The 21,554-nt window shown below is 34.2% G+C and overlaps 1 protein-coding gene and 1 pseudogene across 1 annotated transcript; both read right to left on the bottom strand.

Moving 5' to 3' along the window:
* Positions 1-3,350: 3,350 nt before the first annotated feature.
* OR5D3 (olfactory receptor family 5 subfamily D member 3) lies at positions 3,351-9,196 on the bottom strand. The gene is made up of 2 exons (NM_001396059.1): positions 8,918-9,196; positions 3,351-6,756 (listed from the first exon to the last, which is right to left on the bottom strand). The coding sequence occupies exons 1-2, from the start codon at positions 8,944-8,946 to the stop codon at positions 5,814-5,816; spliced, it is 972 nt and encodes a 323-aa protein (NP_001382988.1). The 5' UTR covers positions 8,947-9,196; the 3' UTR covers positions 3,351-5,813.
* On the bottom strand, positions 17,339-17,975 carry OR5D2P (olfactory receptor family 5 subfamily D member 2 pseudogene; annotated as a pseudogene).

The following is a 21,554-nucleotide window of genomic DNA, read 5'->3' as shown; positions in this document are numbered from 1 at the left end:
TTTCTTCATAAATCACCAAGTCTCAAGGTAGTTCTTGATAGAAGTGTGAGAACTGACTAATACAGTTGCATTAATTATTCATTGACAGCTAAAAAGTATCCCCAAAACTTCGCAGTTTGAAACAATAAACACTGATTACCTCATGGTTTCTATGCATCAGAAATCCAGGAGCAGCTTAGCTCCAAGTTTAGAGTCTCCCATGAGGTTGCAACCAGCCTTCCAGAGCTACAGTAATCTCAAGGCTTAAACAATGTCAAACTTCTGCATCCAAGCTCACTCACAAGGTTGCTGGCACCTCTTGTTCCTTGAAGGCTGTTGGCCAGAAGCTTAGGTTCCTCATCCCAAAGGTCCCTTCACAGGGTTATTCAAATATGGCCACTTCCTCCCGAATGAGAGACCTAATGTAGGTGGAAAAAGACAGAGAGAGAGAATCCAGACTGTTAAGACTGAACCTCAAGTATTATGTATTCTCATTCCTACCACATGCTATTCATCACACAGACCAAGCCAGGTAAAGTATGGGAGGAGACTCCACAATGATGTGAATACCAGAGAATGGGATCATTGGGGGTTCCATGTATGGCTGACTACCACAATCACTGGGAGTAAAATTCAAAAGATAGAGGTGGGACAATAAGAGTGTCTGGTAAGGAATTATGCAAGAGAGGCAAGCTGAAGGTTACTTTTTGAATGGTTTGCGACAGCTTACTCAAGTGTGATATGTGTTGCCTCCATAACTGAAAGACGCAGTACATTTTAAATCACTTAATTGCAGTACAAATTGCCCTAAGTTGTCATTTGCTTTGGAGAGGATATCTCAACATTCTGCAGAACACAAGATCAAAAGAATTCTTTTCTGATGTTAAGAATACTTGTATTTTTATAGGATTTATTTAAGACATCATCTCTGACACATCAGTTTCTCACTAAGAAATTGAGGACACTTGCCCAGTGTCTTAAATATCTCTAGTTCTCTGACAGTAAATTATGCCAACATTTGGATGCCCTGAATTTTTATTATCTTTTTGCAAGCTCTCCCAGGCATTCAGAAGATCCCAGTTCTTGTAATCACCACCACTTCCATGACAGTTTTGTGAAACCCCCACCTCAGTCCTCCAGGCATTTGATTCAGTGAGCACTTCATTATAATCATGCACAAAGGATTATTTAGTTAGCCACGTTACTATACACCATGGATTACTGAATACAATTTCTATTTTAAAGATGCTTAGCCCTGTCTTCACGGCCAAGTGTATGATTAGATACCCATATTTGAAGGTCTAGTTCAGAGAACATTATTACCAAGAGTCTGAGTCTATTCGAGAAAAACACAATCTTTTCTAGGGATTTCAAAACATAACATTTAGTACAGAAAAATTATTTTTACAATTGTTAAACAATTGATGAAAAGGCAAAAACCCCACAAAACCTTAATATACCACAGTAGTGGTTACTGCAGAAAAGAACTACTATCTCTAAAGCTGAGGGATGCTGGGATTAATACAATGTGGAAGGATGTAGACAGATATCACAGATCTAGGAAAAAAAATGTTAATTATCTTACATTGAGAGATCTTTTACATTCCCTTACTAACTCTAATTGGTTTTGATAGATCTTTTTGGATTTGGATGTTCATACAATTATATTATCTTAAAACATGAAAGTGTTATTCTGTCTTCACTAATGTTCTTTTTTTCCTGTCTTACTCAATTGTCTAGAACAACCTTTCCACAGAAGTGGAAATAATGAACATTCTTCTCTTGAGTTGAAATTTAAAACAAAGCTTCTATTATTTCTTTTCTCTTTTTTGTTGTTTTTTCATTTTGTTTTGCTTTTTTTTGAGACAGAGTCTCACTCTGTCTCCAGGCTGGAGTGCAGTGGTGCGATCTCGGCTCACTGAAACCTCCAACTCCCTGGTTCAAGCCATTCTCCTGCTTCAGCCTCCTGAGCAGCTGGTATCACAAGCACACACCACCACGCCCAGCTAATTTTTGTATTTTTAGTAGAGACGGAGTTTTGCCATGTTGGCCAGGATGGTCTCAATCTCCCGACTTTGTGATCCGCCCACCTCGGCCTCCCAAATTGCTGGGATTACAGGCAGGAGCCACTGCACCTAGCCGATTATTTTAACCTTAATTGTGATATTTACCTACAGATTTGGTAGGTAAAAGATTAAGACATTTCTATTTCTATTTTTCTGGGAGCTTTTGTTTTCTTCTGTTTTGTTTTATTATGAACAAGTGCATAAAAGTTAATTGTATGCATCAATTAACTGGGCCACAGGGTGCCCAGATATTCAGTCAAACATTATTATGGATGTTTTTATAAGGGTGTTTTTGGATGAGATTAACAACTAAATCAATCAGTAGCCTAAGTAAAGTAGATTGCCTTTGCTAATGGGGATGGGACGCGTCCATCAGTAAATGCCTGAGTCTAACAAAAGGCTACTTCTCTCCCAAGCAAAGGAAAATTCTTTCCTCTTTCTGCCTTTGAACTGAGACATTAGGTGTTTGCCTATAGACTGAAACTGGAACATCAGCTCTTCATGGGTCTCAAAACTGTTGACCTTCTGACTGGAAATACACCCCTGGCTCTCTAGTTCTTGGGCCTTCCAAATTAGACTAGAATTTCATCATTGGCTCCCCTGGGATCCAGCTTGCTAATTTACCCTGAAGTTCTCAGCATTTGTCAGCCTTTATAATCGCATGAGCTAATTCTTTAAAATAAATAAATACCTCTCTATGGACAGATATAGATATAGCTAAGCAGATATCCATCCCCTTGGTTCTATTTCTCTGGAGAATTTTGACTAATACAAGATATAAATTTGAATAAATATCTTTATAAATTGAAATAAACATATGCTTTTCTCCCTTATTTTGCTAATATGGTAAATTCATTGATGAGATTTAAATGATATATCCACTTTAAATTCCTAGAATAATATACAACTTGTTTCATATATTGTTGAAATTTATGTGAAAACTTTGTTATTAGTATTGCTGTATTCTATATTCTGTTTATAAGTTGTTATCTAAAATAGCCAAGAATTACCTCCAGAAATTCTTCCTGAATTTTGGTTCTCTCAGATCCACAGGTTCAGGCTTGTTGTTATTTACTCTCCTTAGGATTTTTTCCTGGTGCTTAAACTGCATGACAACAAGTTTCAGGGGAAAACTTTTACCAACAAGGTATCCTTGAGCTTAAATATTCTATGTATCGAGAATGCCATAAGCAGGAAATACTGACTATTGAATCAAATATTTATCCTTTTCTTAATCAATCATATATGTTTCCATTTTCTTTATAGGGACTCTGTTTTCCTATTATGTTTGATAGCAGTAAAAACCACTCACGTAAGCAAAGTGTTATGTAATATAATCACGTAATGATATATTTGTCCAACACTAATACAATCTTTGATGCCGTCTTTGTTTAGTCAACATAATATGAAAGTTGACATTTACATAAAATGGTCCAGATATAATTTTTATAGTTGTTAATCCACTAAGAAGTGAGCATTAAACTATATAACTTGCTTTAGTATTGTGCATATGATAGCAAATGTCCTGCCACAGCCCTCCATGGGAAAAAAGTCACATTTATACCTACTGTATCCAAAAGTTTAAAAGAAGAGCAGCATACAAATGTATTTGTAGAAAAAAAATAGCCCATAGCTATCACTTAATATGACCATTAGCAAACTCACTTACATTATCTAAAATGTATTTATCTTCACAGTTAACATGTTTGCTTTCACACTGAAAGTATAATTTGAGAATTTGGGGGGGAAATTGCATTATATTTGTGTAAACTGCCCATTTATGAACATTTACCAAAATAAAAAAATCTTGTATTAAAGGGATTAGCAACTATTCTTTTTTTCTTTGATTTTTATTTTGTACTAAAAGAAACCTACCAAATTACAGCTTACATCTTCCAAAACAATATTTAAAAATAGTATATTCTAACTTTATCCTGGAAACCTTATTGAATATACTAAATATTCTGCGATGCATACTCAAACTTTCTAAATCCTTTTTTGTGCTCCTTAACATCTTTATTAAACTATACACATATGCACACACATACACACAGCTTTAAAAATACTCGACTAGAGCATTTAATTATGACTCATTATCTACAGTTAAAAATTAAAGTAAATCCTCTGTTACTTTTGCTGTATTCTGTAAGTGTTGAGAATTTTGTTGTATATTCCTAAACAGTAAGTTGCATAGACATGTAAGTTGGTGTAAAGCATTAAGGTAAAAAGTTATTGAATTTTTATTTGGAAATAAAGATAAACCTTGAGGGGAAACAAGTATCACTTAACAGCTTGGATTGGACCTTCAACACATGGTTGACTTCATATTCTGTGCTTGTAAGCCTTAATCATGACTGGCAAGACACAAGGAGAAAATGTAAGTTCTTATACTTAATCTCAACCAGCCATTTGGTTAAGGCAATCAAATTATTTCAATTATTTGAAAACTTCTCTAAAACCAATTAGAGCCATGGGTTATCTGTTTTCTGCAGTAAAGTTATCTGGCATTATCAAGGAAGAATGTGTTTAAAGATGTAAATGTTTCAATCAATTTTGAACCCAGTTTTTCATTTCTCCCTGTACCCATCACTCTTGACTTGTAATCTTGCAGTTCTACAAGAAATAGATAACTTTCTCAACTCTTGCTTTGGGGCTTGGACGTGATTTTCTCTGACTCATAAAATGTTAACAGGTGAGACCCAAACAGGAACGTTAAGTATGCTTTTATTTTTGGAATACTCTATTGTGGCTCTGCTTTCAACAAAGACTATCAGCCAAAGAGTCCAAAGAAGATGACATACATACAGGTCTCTAGTTCCAAAGGTAGCTGATCTAGTTACCCCATTCTTGACACCCAAATGGTCGAACTGATATCAACAGAGCTACCCCAGTCAAGTCACTTATTTGAAAGGATTGCTTACTGTTAGATATCACTGAGTTTATGAATATTTCTTTTATCAATACATAACTAATGCTTGAATAATGTATGTGTATTATCTCAATATCATTATCCTGGTTGTTATATTGTACTATCTTAGGGGGAAACTGGTTAAAAGATAATTGGAATTCCTCTATATTATTTCTTACAAAGGAAAATGAATAGAAAATTATCTCAATAAAATTTTTAATAAATAAATAACATGCACAATCATATTGGCATCAGTGGCAGAACTAGGGTGATGGGCATTTATTTGCAAAAATATTTACCATCTTCTTATTATCATGCATAAAGAAAAATATAATTTATAATACCAAGTATAACTTAACTTTACCAGATTCTGGACTTCGTAAGGAAGATAATTTTCTTATTTATTTTTGTTTGTCTGTAAATCTTCTAATGCCAAAGTTGCCCATACAGAATTAATTGTAATTATTTTATAGATAGTGTTTTATACTGAACAGCTCTTATCATAGTAATTTTATGTTATCAGGTAAACTTCCTCATTATAAACTACTATTCTTCAGATCATCTCAAAAATTTTTACATTTTGCAAGATTTAAATTGAACTGAAATTTGACCTGGACAATCACAATAAACGTATACTAACACAAAAACTTTTGTATTACAATATTCTCGATCAAAAATTTAGTTTAAATGGTCTGAGATTCCATACTTACAGTATTTATAACTTTAAAGTTATTTTACTAAACATCAGTGTGAATAGATATTGTACTGTCAGTTGGAGGGTTATCATAATTTCATGCAATGACTAGTTATTGAACAACTGCAGTGCTGCTCTCAAGGATAAATAATTAATATTTCTAGCATTACATTTTATGACATAATAATTTGGTAATGACTAACTTCCTGACTGTCTCTTTTACATCTTTGTTCCTGAGGCTATAGATCAAGGGGTTCAGCATGGGAATGACCACTGTGTAAAAGACAGAGGCCACCTTGACCATGAGCCATGAACTTTTGGAGTTAGGAACACAGTAGAGAAAAAGGATAGTCCCATGGAAAATGGTAATGGCGGTCAGGTGGGAGGCACACGTGGAGAACGCTTTCTTGCGCCCCCCAGTGGAAGGCATCTTCATGACAGTGATAAAAATGAAAGCATAGGAAGTGAGAATGATCACCAGGCTGCTTATTTCATTGAATGTTGCAGAAACTAAAATGACCTTCTGGCTCATGTAGGGGTCAGAGCAGGACACAGCAACAATGGCAGCGTGCTCACAGACAAAGTTATTAATGAAGTTAGTCCTACAAAAAGATAAAGTCAACAGAAAATATGTGTATGTTAAGGAACAAACTAAACTCCAAGAGTATGATGCAGCCACTAACAAGGAGCAAAGCCTCTGGGACATTGCAACTGTGTAAAGCAGAGGGTTACACACTGCCACAAATCTGTCATAAGCCATCGCTGCCAGCATGAATGTTTCTGTCACCACAAATATACAGGCAAAGAAGAATTGCATGATGCATCCTGTGAAGGAGATGATTCTGTCTTCCACAACCAAGTTCTCCAGCAGTTTTGGTGTAATTGTGGTGGAATAACAGAAATCAACAAAGGACAAGTGGCTGAGGAAAAAGTACATAGGGGTGTGGAGTTTGGGGTTGATCCTGATGACCATGATCATGCCCAGATTCCCCATCACAGTGATTGTGTAGATGGTCAGGAAGACCAGGAACAGGGGTATCTGAAGGTCTGGAAATTCTGAGAAGCCCAAGAGGATGAAGGTGACTCCAGCAGTCTGATTTTTTTGAATCCTGTGAGAAAAAAATAAGAAAGTTGATCCAGAGAAGTAGAAGCCAATATGTGCAATAAGAAACAGAAAGGAAGAAATATTGAGAGACTTAGTGGGTCTTTATTAAGAGTGTTGCTGAAAATTCTAGGTTTCCACTGTCAAATTATTTCAAAAGGTAGAGTACTTATATAAAAATTACAAGGTGAATAGGATTATTTTGTGAATGGAATAATAAAAAACAAAATTAAGACAGGAAAAACAAAACAGGGTATACCTTCCTATATTTCAGATAATAAGACAGCAGGCTTCATGAGAAGAGCCACTCTAAGTTTGCATGAATCTGAGATAAGTGCAAATATTTCTGTTGGAGGAAATATATACTTTTCTACAGTTTCATTCCTGCTGTACCTCTAAAGCTTTGAGACAGTTAACTTACAACTCTTAACAAATTGTAAAATGTTAACATTCCTGTAAAATGGTAAATTTAACAGTTTATTGGTGGTTTTATTTTTAACACCTTTCTCATTCCTTATAATCCAATACTTTCAACACATTCTGGAGCTGTGTTACACTAATATGCTAATCTTTCTCATGCATGTTGAACTCAACTTGAAAAAATTTTCATGTTATTTTTAATGATGTATTATATCACTTATGAGAAGATTATTGCAACAAAATATGTGATGTATGTTTCTGTAGTGATAAAATAGTTGAAGTAATTTTAAATGAAAAGTTTTTCATTTTCTGATGTGGCAAATCTCAGAAGACAGGTAGGTGACAAACAATAATAAACATGAAAGTACTGAGTACTGCAAATAAATATTAGTTTTTAGGAAAATTGCATTCTGTCCTTTTGATTTAAGTTTAAAGCTTTGCCAAGAATAAGTGTCAGGAAGACCCATCTCAAACAGGACACCATAGTATTCTTTCAATATGCCTTGATGCCACAAGGCATTTCCTCAATGGTAAAATGTGATAATATATTCATGATATAAAATTTAAATCAGTAGAATGGAAGCAGAAAGATTGCTAATGAATGTAGTGGTTATAAAACACAGTATAAAGCATATTAGATATTCACTTTTATATTTATTAGAATTATAGCTAATTAGTGTGGTTTCAGAAACCTTAAGTAGTTATTGAAATGAGGCCTATATGGGACAGCTATCAACATGTGGACACATTTGTGAATACAATGCAGAGAATCAGTTTCCTGAACCCACAAAATGGAAGTACTGTAGAATTTTATTTGTGGCTTTAGTCTAAGTCATAACTATATTTTCCCCATTCTCCTTTATGTTTTTCCATTACACAATAGCTTTCTCTAGTTCCCACAAGCTTGTGCCTGTAGGAAAGATATCTTCCAAAAGGACCAATTACTCAGCAATTTCCCTGAAACAATTATTTATAAAAATCTTAACACTATAAAACTAGATTATGACTGTATTTCCCAGTCACTCTCCTCAATTTGAAATGTCCTTTGCAACATCGCAAGAATAATTTTCTGTAATCACTTTAACCTGAGAGCCAATGACTTTAACAATTCCAAATGTTTTTTATTGATGAATGCATGAAAACTGCATTGTGCAGACTGGATTTTCCCAAACTGCTTAGATCTAGATACTCAATCTCATTACCACTAACACATTTTTCTCAAAGTCATGGTAGATGTATCAAGTTATTATAAAGCACATGCTCATTTACATAAAGTTTGCTTTCTATCTATTCTCACTTTTATAATGCTTTATTTTACCATCTACTCTTGTAAAGATTACTCATTGTTTCTTCTCCTCTGTATATATTGCAAACATTAGTGCTTATAACTCACAGTTACCATAAACCATATCCTATCATTTACAGATTTGGTTATTAGTCTCGCTTATCTCCTCAGAAAGTATAGAAAGTTTAAAGATAAGGCCAATTTTGCTTTATTCTTCTTTATCTGCCAAAGTATTGATTTCATTGCTGAGTACATGGTGGGAGCCGAATGAGAAAATCAGAATTGATATCATTTGAAAGGGAGAAGGAATCAGGATATAACAACATAGGTCCTCTGCTTGTTGAATGAACTAAGTGGATTTGAGGGCACTTCAACCTACACGTGTGTTTGTCTGGTACTAAGATTACCGGAACTCAGTATTTTCCTTCTGAAATAAAATTTTAAAAAAACTAAATCAACTCACCTAAATACAGAGGCATCTGAGTGATTCATTTACTGAAGGATCTTTTGCTGAAATTAACGAACTCCAATAATGCTCCCGCTTAGCACTTAATTAATAGAAACAAACCTGAAAACAACAGTAGGAGTGTCGAGAGTATATTTCCTTGAAGATTTTAAATGTTACTTTTTTACCCAACCTATTAAGAAAACTCATAGATAGCAGAGATAAGGTCACATCTAGAAACTAAGTCCTAGCACCAAACTGTGTCACAAATATTTGCCCCCAAGGCCTTGGGGACCTCGTGACTAGAGAATATCACTGAAGTATTGCCTTGGAGGCTACCATTTGAGCAATTAGATATAACACTGTCCCATGTGATATCTTGTTTGTATAGTGCCTTTCTAAAGCCCTTGACATTTATCTTACCAACTTCACTTAATTAATCGTAATAGTGAATATATCTTGACTTTACATAGGTGTAAAATACAAATGTGAAAGGGAAAAATCAGCTATAAAACAATAGTCCAGAGATAGGTATCATTACCTCATGTTGAATTTATTTTCTCTTTTTATGAAGATATATTTATGTTATTATATGTTGAAATACAGAGCTGACTAAATAATGCTACATCTTTTATTTATCCTTTGTTAGTAATACAAACTTCATTTGGTAGTCACACTATTGTTTTTTTTAATAGAAAACAATTTGTGTTTGCCTTTTTAAATATGGCTAAATGATCTTCAGATGTTTATGCTGACTGTTGAATCTGGAAAAAACTGGGTTACATGTTTCTAAAAATAAACCAGTTTATGGAAAATGCCACTTTATGGAAAGGATGATATATCCATTAATTTCGGTACTCTATCTAACATGCTTTTAAAGAATAAAGACTTATTTCTCACTAGTGCAGGTCCAAAATGCACTCCTAAACATTGGGCATCTCTGCTACATGTTAGTAATGCAGGGGCTCATGTTCCTTTCTACTTGTGTTTCGCCATCATCATGGTACATTTGAGGTTATAGTTGTATTTTGCATGTGAGGAAGAGGGAATCATGCAACACTCCTTTAAACGTGTCTTCAGAAAAAAGCTCGTTCCATTGCAGAGGACCTCATATCGCACATAGGGAAATCAAGGGCAAAAGAGCTGATGGTGTCTCAGACACGATACAACTAAGGAACTACAGATAGAAAAGCAATAGGAATCTGTTCATTGAGTATATTCGCCTGTGGTTTCCTTTTCTTGTAGTATCTTTGTCTGTCTTTGTTATCAACATAATGCCAGTTCCATAAAATGAGTCTCAAAGTGTTCTCACTTCTTTAATTGTTGGAATGTTTTTAGAAAGACTAGTGTTTGTACTTTTTATATGTTTGGTAGAATTCACAAGTGAAACCGTCTTGTCCCGCATTTTCTTTGTTGGGAGGTTTTTGATTACAGATTCAATCTTGTTATTAGTCTTTGATCTGTTCAGAGTTTCTATTTCTTCATGATTCAGTTATTGTAGCTTGTACATTTCTAAAAATTTTTTTTTATCTCTTATAAGTCATCCAATTTTTAGGCATACAATTGTTTATAGTAGTCAATTTTGATCCTTAATTTCTATAGCATTGGTCGGTTAGATGCAATGTTTCCTCTTTCATTTCTGATTATATTTGAGTCTTCTCTTTTTTTTCTTGGTCCACCTATTATTTGGCCAATTATGTTTATATTTTTTAAAAACCTGAGTTTTATTGATTTATTGTATTGTTTTTTATATTACTTATCTCATTTATTTCTTTCCTAACATTTATTATTTCCATATTTCTGTTAATTTTATGCTTCACATCCCATGGTCATGGATTAGAAAACTTAATGTTAAAATGTTAATTCTACTCAAATATATGTAATGATTTAATGCAATGTCAATTAAAATCACATAGATCTAGATTTCTTTTCTATTTTTACAAAATAGAATAGAAAACTAAAATTTTTGTAAACATACAAAAGATCAAAACAGCTAAAGGAAACAAGAAAAAAAAGAGAAAAATGCTGGAGGCATCACTCTTCCTGATTTCAAAATATATTACAAAATTGCAATAAATAAAATAGTATTGTACTAGCATATAAACAGACACATAGACCATTGGGCAGAATAGAAAGCCCAGACATAACCCACACACATACAGACATCTAACCTTTAACAAATGTACCAAGAATACATAATGGGAAAAAGGATAGTCTCTTCAACAAATGGTGTTAGGAAAACTGGATATCCACATGCAAAAGAATGACGTCAGGCCGGGCGCGGTGGCTCACGCCTGTAATCCCAGCACTTTGGGAGGCCGAGGCGGGAGGATCACGAGGTCAGGAGATCGAGACCATCCTGGCTAACATGGTGAAACCCCGTCTCTACTAAAAATACAAAAAATTAGCCGGGCGTGGTAGCGGGCGCCTGTAGTCCCAGCTACTCGGGAGGCTGAGGCAGGAGAATGGCGTGAACCCGGGAGGCGGAGCTTGCAGTGAGCCGAGATCGCGCCACTGCACTCCAGCCTGGGTGACAGAGCGAGACTCCGTCTCAAAAAAAAAAAAAAAAAAAAAAAAAAAAAAAAAAAAGAATGATGTCAGATCCTCTTCTGACATGATACACAAAAGTCAACTCAAAAAAGATTAAAAAATTAAATTTAGGGTCATTAACTGTAAAATGCCTAGAAGGAAATATAGGGGAAAATCTTCCCGACATTGGTTTTGTCCATTATTTCTTGAACATGGCAACAGAAACACAAACAATAAAAGTGAAAATAGGTCAGTGGAACTGTATCAAACTAAAAAGTTGCACAGCAAAAGAAACAATCAATAGAGTGAAAAGGCAACCTAGGAAATGGAAGAAAATATTTGCAAATCATATGTTTTATAAGAAGTTAATATGTGAAATATATAAGGAACTCCTACAATTCAACAACACAAGGGAAATAGCCAATTAAAACAAGCATAGGATTTAGACAGACATTTCTCCATTATGGACATACAGGTGGCCAATATGTACATGAAAAGACGATGAAATTACTAGTCATCTGGGAATTACAAGACAAAACCACAATGAGCTATCACCTCATACCTTTTAGTATGGCTATGATGAAACATAATAATAATAATTAGTGTTGCAAGGATGTGGAGATAAAGGATGCTTGTCCATTGTTGATGGGCATATAAAGTGGTGCAGCCACCATGGGAAACATATCAACGTTCCTTAAAATATTAAAACTAGAATTAGTATATGACCCAGCAATCTCACTTTTGGGTATGTAACCAAAAGAACTGAAATCCAGATCTTGAAGAGATATCTACACTACTGTGTTCACTCCAGCATTATTCACAATACTCAAAATATGGAAACAATCTAAAAGCCCATTGACAGACGAATGGACACAAAAAATCTGGTATATACATAAAATGGAATATTATTCAGCTTTAAAAAGAAGCGAATCCTGCTATATGTGATAACAGAAATTAACCTAGAGGGCCTTATGCTAAATTAGATAAATGAGCAACAGAAGTACTAATATGTTATTGATAATGACAGGAGGCAGAGAAATTCTAGGCAGACAAGGGCAGGTCTTTGGCAAAACCCCACCTTCAAGCTAAACAGCCTGAAACCCGTGGCCCTAAGTGAGAACTTCCATCCCTATGTGTCTGCTCTCCCCTGATTGGTTCTTTCTGAATAACGTCTTTTTACCAGTTGAATGTTGTCTTTTCCAAAACTACCTATGGCTCACCCCACCCCCATCCTGTGCCTGTAAGACCCCAGACCCAGCTAGCAGAGAAGAAAAGTGGCTGAACCTCAGGAAGAAGTGGCTGGATGTCAGAGAGAGGTGACTTTGACTTCAAAGACAGTGGCTGGATGAAGCAACTTGACTTTGGAAAAGAAAGTCAGAAAGGTGGATTGACTTCAGGGGAGAGCAACCTTCCCTTCCCATCCCCTTTCCAGCTCCTCCCTCTCCACTGAGAGCAGCTTTCATCATTCAATAAAATTCTCCACATTCACCATCTTTCAATTCGTCCACATGACCTCATTCGTCTTGGGCACCAGACAAAAATTCAGGATGCACCAGATGTGGATACCTAAAAGGTTTGTCACCCTGGCCCTTTGCCCTTACTGGTGGAAGGCAATTTCCTCATGTGATGAGGCAAAGGGCCCGTTGAGCTGGTAACACATGGCTGTCTGCAGAAAGCACAGCTAAGGAAGCATTTTAACACACCCTCTGGGGCCTGGGGGTCACGGGCACGGCCCCTGGACACTGCCCTGCGGCTCACATGGAGTTTGCTCCTGCTGGCACCAAAGCAGCTGGTTCTGCACTTGCCCACTCCAGTTCCTGTACTGGTTCACTCTCAGGCTCCCTTCAGCAAGGGGTTGAGCAGGGCAGACTGAGTAAACAAGGCACCCCCGTTGCAAGACCTGTGAAAGAGTCAAGAAAATGTCCTACACTATTATGATTCTACTTATATGAAGTATCTAAAAGAGCCAAACTCATAGGAGCAGAGAGTAGAAAGGTGTTTACCAGGGTCTAGGGGGAGGAGGAAATTGGGAGCTGTTGCTCAAGGGGTACGCATTTTCAGTTATGCAACATGAATAAGTTCTACAGATCTGTTATACAACGTAGTGTACAACGTATTTTAAATGATCTGCTAGTTTATGATGAAATAATATGGAAAAAACTCATAATTATTTTTGTTTAACTCTAACTGAAATTTAGTGTGTTTTTAATTATGAAGGTAGACCACAAACCACAGTACTGTTAGCAATACTCTAACCATAGAAATCACAGATATATTTTTATTATTTATATATTATAACCTACCTAAAAATATTACTATGATCATCCTTATTCCAAATTATAATAGTTAATGTGCATGTATGTAGATATTATCTAATATGAATAATAAAGCACAAATATTATACAAGTCCATAAAGTTAATATTTTTAATATTTGGTAATTTTATAGAAATATAATATGTTTGATTTACATTTATATCCATTTTATTTTTAAATGTTTTTCTAAAGAAGATCTCATATGCTTCACCAGACTATGAAAGGTGTTTCTAAGGCCAAAAAGCTATTACAGAAACTTAATAAATTTTGTGACATCTGTGAGGAACTGATACAACTTGCAGCAAAGATAGAGATATAGAGAACATAAAAAAAGCTAGAGAGAACACTTCAAAATATATATCTAAAAGTTTTGGAAAGCGATATTTTAGTAGATGATGTGACCACAGGGAATGAAAACTTTTGAAAACTAGTATTTGTGCCTTTTAAAAAAATTCATTATTTTGAAACTTCAAGCAATCATAGTGATATTTAATTTACATTCCCTTGAAAACATATATTGTTGGAATATTTTTGTGAGATTATTATCCATCTATATATTTTTACAAAGTAATTGCACATTAGTCTATTTTAATTTAATTTTCTTATTATTTGTTATATATATATATTTAGTAATTGACAACTCTATATATTGTTAATATACACTCCCAGTCTACAGGTAATTACTTCTAATCTATGGGTTGTCTCTTCTTTTTATAATGATCTAATTTGATGATAGGCAGTTTTTAATTATTGACAGTCTCATTTGTCGATTTTCATATAGATAATCACCTGTTCTTTATTCCAGAGGCCTTAGTGTTTCAGCTGTTATGGTTAATTAATTTGATAATAAATATCGAATTAATTTTCTATGGAGAGAGGTAGGAAATGAGGTTATTTTCCCCCATTCAATTATCCAGTTTTTTTCAGATATGTTTTCAAAGATCAATTGATTATATGTTTCTTGGATTATATCTGGATTCTATTTTATTTATTCTATTATAGTCTCAATTTGTCTGTCTTTATACCTAAACCATACTGGTTTGTTTCCTTTTGTTTTACAGTAAACCTTCAATTCCTCCAATCATTCTCTTTTAAAAATATTTTTGGATATTTCACTTACTTTGCATTTCTATATACATTATTACACAAATCCAGAATATCTGTTTTTCAAAACACACTCTAAAGAGGGTGAAAGATAAGCCACATATTCAAAGAAATATTTCAAATCACACATTTGAGGAGAAAAAAGAGTTGTATCTACAATATATAAATAATTATCAAGCCCCAATAATAAGAAAAGAATTGCAATTAAAAATAGGCAGAGTATTTGAACATAGACTTTATCAAAAAAATACAAATAACCAATAATCACATGAAAATATATTCAACTTAATTACTTATCAGATGAATGCAAACACAAATCCAATAAGATACCATTACATACTTGTAAGAATTTCTAAGATTGAAAATAATGACCATATAGTTATTTGTCCAAGATGGGGAACAATCAGAAGTATCATACCCAGCTAGGAGGATTTTAAATGGTACAGCCACTTTAAAGATCATTTGGAAGCTTCTTAAGAAATTAAATGTACACCTACCATATGACTCGGCTATCTTTCCTAGGTACTTGTAAAAGGAAATAAAAGTGCTGTATGTGCCTTTACAAAGATTCCGACAGAAATGTTCACAGCCATCTTACTGTAATAAACCCGTTTTCTTCAAAGTTATTGTTTTGTTTTCTCCTACAATATAGAAAGCTAATTATAGTTTACAAATTATAATTTACCTAATATCTATCTTTTTTTTTTCAAATAGGATTTTAAATCCAAGGACCTTTAGAATGTGCCAAGTATAGTTCATTTTATACTGTTTTCACATTCTCTAAATGCATTTTTCTTTTTTCTTAAAATGTTTTTGTTAACATACACAAAACCTATTAATGTACTTGACTGGAACATTTACTTAAGTGTATATGTCCTCTGTTTGATGAACAATTAGAAGTTAAATAAGTTATGCAATACTATAGTTATATAATATGATTTGTTAAAAAATATTTTTATGTATTGCTAAACAATCAGATAAATGGATTAGGTTAAATAGTTTTATAATAAACTTTATAACAAAGGAAATTGCCATTTTTATTTGAACATGAGAGTCAGGAATACAGGAACCATGATATATGGAAATTTACCAAGACTTTGTCTTTCCTCTTAAACATTAACTATCAACAGCAAGTGACAATCAACAAAAACAGTCATTTAGTTAAGTCGATTAAATTTCTCATCAATTTACAGAAGACTTTTGTCAAACTAGGACAAAAATTTATCTGGAATAAGAAGGATAATTTCCCATTAACTAAAATTTCCCAACAATTTAGATATATAGAAATAGTAGGCAGAATCCTTCATTCCTCTGTGTATCTACATTATTTGCCACGTAACTTTTCAATTCTACAATAAGAGGCAGATATCCTTCCTCAGTCATTAACTTTGAGCCCAGCAATGTGATTCTCTTTGCCTAAAATAATGCTAAAAAACATGAGGCGAATGGAAGCTTGAACTAGCTTTTGTTGTACATTTCCCCTTGTGACTCACCCATCAACACTGGAAGAAAATACTCCAGCTAGCCCAATGGTTCAGAGGACCATAGATACAGAGGCAGAGCTACTCAATCGTTATGTAGGTCTATGAGTTCCCGTTAGACCCGTTAGACTAGATAATATTAACCAAGATGCACCAGCTGATACTATCAGGACTGCCAAATCAATTGACAAAAAATTAATAATTACCTAATGTTATGTATCACTGACATTTATGGTATTCTGTTATGGATCAAATTTATAACTTATATGAAAATCAAGATTGTAGTGAATGACAAATTCAGATTTCAAAATGTCTATTTCTAAAATATGTGGCTATTTTCATTTTTTGATATATTGTGTACAATGATCAAATAAAATTTTATGTTAACCAATACAATTTTACCAAACCATATTCTGGACTTTGTGGGCAGACTTACGCCTTATACACATTTATAATATACCAATGTGCCCTATGTGGAATTAAATAAATATTACTTTTAAACTTAGTGTCTGAGTGCTGAACATGTCTTAGTTTACTGTATTGCATTTGCTATATCTTCCTTCATGGTAAGCTATAATTTTTCAGAACAAATCTACAAGCCCATTCTCCAACAACTGAAAAAGAACAGAAGGTTAACTGAGCAACAATAGGGTAATGTATATTAACTCAGAAATCTTTACATGACAAATTCTGAGTTTAATGATAAGTTAAATCATTAGAGATTAAATTACTGTGTTACTTGTTAGCTAATCTACTAGAATTTGAACAGATGTCAAATAACCAGTTAAGTAGGGGTTACATTAAGTACATGCACTGCTTTACTGTTTGAAAAAGGGATTTGGATTGTTAGCAATTCTACAACTTTTGGGCAGTTCTGCACAATATTCTTCAATAGGAATAAGTACGACTTCTAGATTTTATAATATGAGACATAATAATTTGGTAATGAGTAACCTCCTAACTGTCTCTTTTACATCTTTGTTCCTGAGGCTATAGATCAAGGGGTTCAGCATGGGAATGACCACTGTGTAAAAGACAGAGGCCACCTTGACCATGAGCCACGAACTTTTGGAGTTAGGAACACAGTAGAGGAAAAGGATAGTCCCATGGAAAATGGTAATGGCCGTCAAGTGGGAGGCAGACGTGGAGAACGCTTTCTTGCGCCCCCCAGTGGAAGGCGTCTTCATGACAGTGATAAAAATGAAAGCATAGGAAGCAGGCTGCTTATTTCATTGAATGTGGCAGAAACTAAAGTGATCTCCTGGCTCACACAGGGGTCAGAGCAAGACACAGCAACAATGGCAGCGTGCTCACAGACAAAGTTATTAATGATATTATTTCCTCTGAAGGATAATTCCAGTAGAAACTAGGTAAGTGTCAGGGAACAGACTATCCCCCAACAGTATGATGTAGCCACTAACAAGGAGCAAAGCCTCTGGTACATTGCAACTGTGTAGAGAAGAGGGTTACACACCGCCACATATCGGTCATAGGCCATCACTGCCAGCATGAATGTTTCTGTTACTACAAATATGCAGACAAAGAATAACTGCATGGTGCATCCTGTGAAGGAGATAGTTCTATCTTCCACAACCAAGTTCTCCAGCAGTTTGGGTGTAATTGTGGTGGAATAACAGAAATCAACAAAGGACAAGTGGCTGAGGAAAAAGCACATGGGGGTGTGGAGTTTGGGGCTGATCCTGATGACTATGATCATGCCCAGATTCCCCAGCACAGTGACTGTGTAGATGGTCAGGAACACCAGGAACAGGGGCGTCTGAAGGTCTGGATATTCTGAGAAGCCCAAGAGGATGAAGGTGACTTCAGAAGTCTGATTTTCTTGGTCCCTGGGACAAAATAGGGAAGTTGATTCAGAGATTCAAGAAGAAATATTTGGACAAGGCCAAGTAAAATGAGGAAATGTTGAGAGGTTTAGTGATTATTTATAAAAAGACTTATGGATATGCTTAGTTTCAACAATTACATTGTTTCAAAAGCTAGAATTTGCTAATATCACAATTATACAGTGCATATAAAATGTATGTCAATGTAATAATAAAATATGGGAACTGAGAGAGGAAGAACAAAAGTGCCGTTGGCTCTGGTATATTTTAAACCATCCGGTTCAGTAGCCTCAGACGCAACTGGCTTCACGAGAAGGGCCAGTCTACCTTTTGCATGAGTCAGAGTTTAGTGAAAACGCTTATCTTGGAGGAAGATAAGCATTTCCATTTTATTTCATTTCAATACAATGCTTATTTTGAGTTTCGGTAATTTTTTCACTTCTTCACCTATTAAATGATGAGAACTTGGAACTCTAAAAAGGAAATTAATGATGGAGTAAAATGATCATTACATTTTTGTAACAGTTGTTTCTATAGCTATTTCTGAATTTCCCTTTCCAATGACCTCCCTACATTTAATCACACATTTATCTCCACATATTTCAGATCCTTCCTGTATAATGTGAATGATGCACTTGATCAGCCACATTTATATAATTATTGAAAAAATCTGTTTCCTTTTCTTGATATATTATAATATCAGATATTTAGAATGATTTGGTTTGGGAGCAAACAATAATAATACATCCAGATCATTTTTATTATTCTGAAGTACTTTCTGCCACAACATTCTCAGGTGGTCAAAATTCAGTTCTCCAAATCTTCAAAGATGAGACATCACTTCCTGAAGAATTACAATGGTTTTTATTTGGTTAGGACATTTTTGTTTTGTTTTGTTTGCATTGAATTGCTTACAATAGAGACACAGATAATCTTTCTTATATCCTATACTTTTAGTTTCTTCATCTTTTCCAATAATTTTATCTCAACTTGACTCATTCATCATGGTCATAGTAGTTATGTCATTATCAGTAACTATAAGCCCTGAAAAATATCAATATTATGCAACATCTGTAATATAATATATATTTTACTCATGTTTTCTTCTTTGCCATTTCAACAAATTGTTGTTCTACAATAAAATAATATTAATGAGGGCAAATATGGAAGGCTAGGACATAGTAGATTCTCAACAATCTTGATTGAATAAATGAATGTATATGTGAGTGAATAAATCTAGCCACATATTATACATGTATTGGGGTAAAAGTTTATAATAATACTAAAGAAGCTGGACTTGCCTATTAAATCAGGACCACATTGTAAACTCACAATGCACTGAGGCACACCTGGAGTCCTACAGAACAAGTAGCTATAGTGAAACCCCATGGGACCTAAGCATCTTGAATTAGAATAAAACAAGGAGAGTTAGAAGGGAAAATGAGGTATTGGATTTTTAAAAAATGTTCTGAGTTCATTCAAAATAACTCAATTACTGTTTTGTGCCAGTTTAATCCAGAACCATGTCATGACTGCTTACCGAAAGCTAAAATAGCAGTAGGCATAGAAAGAACACCATTCCACACAGCATTCTGTAAAAATTCTATGCTTTATCATTAGGTGAAATTAAGCACTCTATAGTTTACACTGAGTTGTTACAATGTTTAGTCTCCAAGAGAATATACTGCACGCACTTATATTTTGCAGAAAACATAAGTGCATGCAGTGTATATATATATATATATATATATATATATATATGATTATATATAGAGAAAATTATATAGGTTTTATATAGGTTAGGGTTAGGGTTACATATAAAAGTATTTTATGTACAACTTACATATCCATGCAGTTTCTTTCTTTAATTGCTCCTTTAAATTCACTTCATTTGACACCTGTGATTTGACCGTCTACATTTGTTGTTATTTTCTAAACTTATGTTTTAGTTTGACACAAAACTCATTGAGTGCAAATTTCCTAACTGAACATACTTTTTCAAGCATTTTCCAATATCTGTATTCTTTCCTAAGGATGTTCTAACAAACTCTGAGCAGACTGGGCCTGAAAAGAAAATCATTTCCATCAAAGATATGTATTTTATAATATATATTCGACTTATTGTTACCCAAACATCTTTTCTATGTGTGGCACTTTTGAACCCACTTCCTACACTCTTATTTCTTGACTGAAAGACTTGGGGCCAAAGTTCACAATCTCCCATTTAGCCCCAGGAAGTGTCACCCTTTTTGAGCTGAATGAGGGCTCAAGGTGCCGTGCACAGGCTTTCCCTCTTTTGTAGTGACACCCAGCATGGCTATCCGATTGTGCATTTGCTATGCACTCAGCACTGTAATAGGCATTTTAGAAACTGTAAAATTATAAAATATTGGCCTTGACCTCAAAACTGTTTTTCTAAGAATTATTCCGAGGCATAATGCATGTAATTGCAAATTATACAACATAGCATACAATTCTTATTACTTATTAAAACTAAAGTTTGTGCCCATAAAAAGAAGAAGAATATTGTGATAAAAAGAATACAGGCAAATTAATAATAATAAATATGGTGAAAGATAATATTCCTAGTTAACGGAACGGCAGTTAGATTTACATATGGGTTTGCCTCCTGCAAAGATTGTTGGAACACACTCTTTTCCTTCTAAAGTTATATAAAGTAAGAATTGAATAACTCACTTAAGTACAGAATAAATTGACTTATTCATTCATTTACTAACGCTTCTTTTGCAAAGATTAACGGACTCCAGGAAAGTTCTTGTGGAGAACTGAAAAAAAAAAAAAAAAAAGCAAATCACAATAAAAGTGGCAGGCAGGAGTTTGTAATATATTTCAATAAATGTTTCAAGAAAATGACTTTTTTCCCCTGATTTTTTCAAATAAACTCAGTGATAACAGAGAGAAAAATGTTACCAAAAGACTGAATCCTGACACCAAACTGTGTCACAAATATATATGCCACAAAGGCCTTAGGGATGTTAACCCTAGAGAATATAATTGAAGTATTGCCTAAGAGGCCACAAATAAAGCAATTACATAAAACAATGCCCCATGTGATATCCTGGTTGCATGTAATTTCTTGTAATAACTGGTGAATAATTTCATCATAAACTTAAATATGTTGAACCACACAATATATTTTAATTTAAAATACCTGAAAATACAAAAATGTACAAAAGAAAAAAAAACAGCCATTGGGCAACAATCCAGAGATAAATACTCTCAATTGTTTCTTTATTTCAAGTTTTCTCACTCCCATGTGTGTATGTATGTATTAGTGTGTATCTGATACAAAGCTTATATAATAAATATCATAGCTATATTTTATATTATCCTTTTTATATAACATTGCACTGTGAGCTTCA

Source organism: Homo sapiens, chromosome 11 (genome assembly GCF_000001405.40).
Source record: "Homo sapiens chromosome 11, GRCh38.p14 Primary Assembly".
In the NCBI taxonomy this organism is placed as follows: Eukaryota; Metazoa; Chordata; class Mammalia; order Primates; family Hominidae; genus Homo; species Homo sapiens.
This window is presented reverse-complemented; position numbering and strand designations above follow the sequence as displayed.

What these genes read in the sequence shown, in the direction of transcription:
- OR5D3 (NM_001396059.1), bottom strand. Translation starts at nt 8,946, where the DNA reads ATGAATCACTCAGATGCCTCTGTATTTAG. An exon ending in TCAGATGCCTCTGTATTTAG is followed by an intron (nt 6,757 to 8,917) that starts GTGAGTTGATTT and finishes TTTTTCTCACAG; the next exon opens with GATTCAAAAAAATCAGACTG.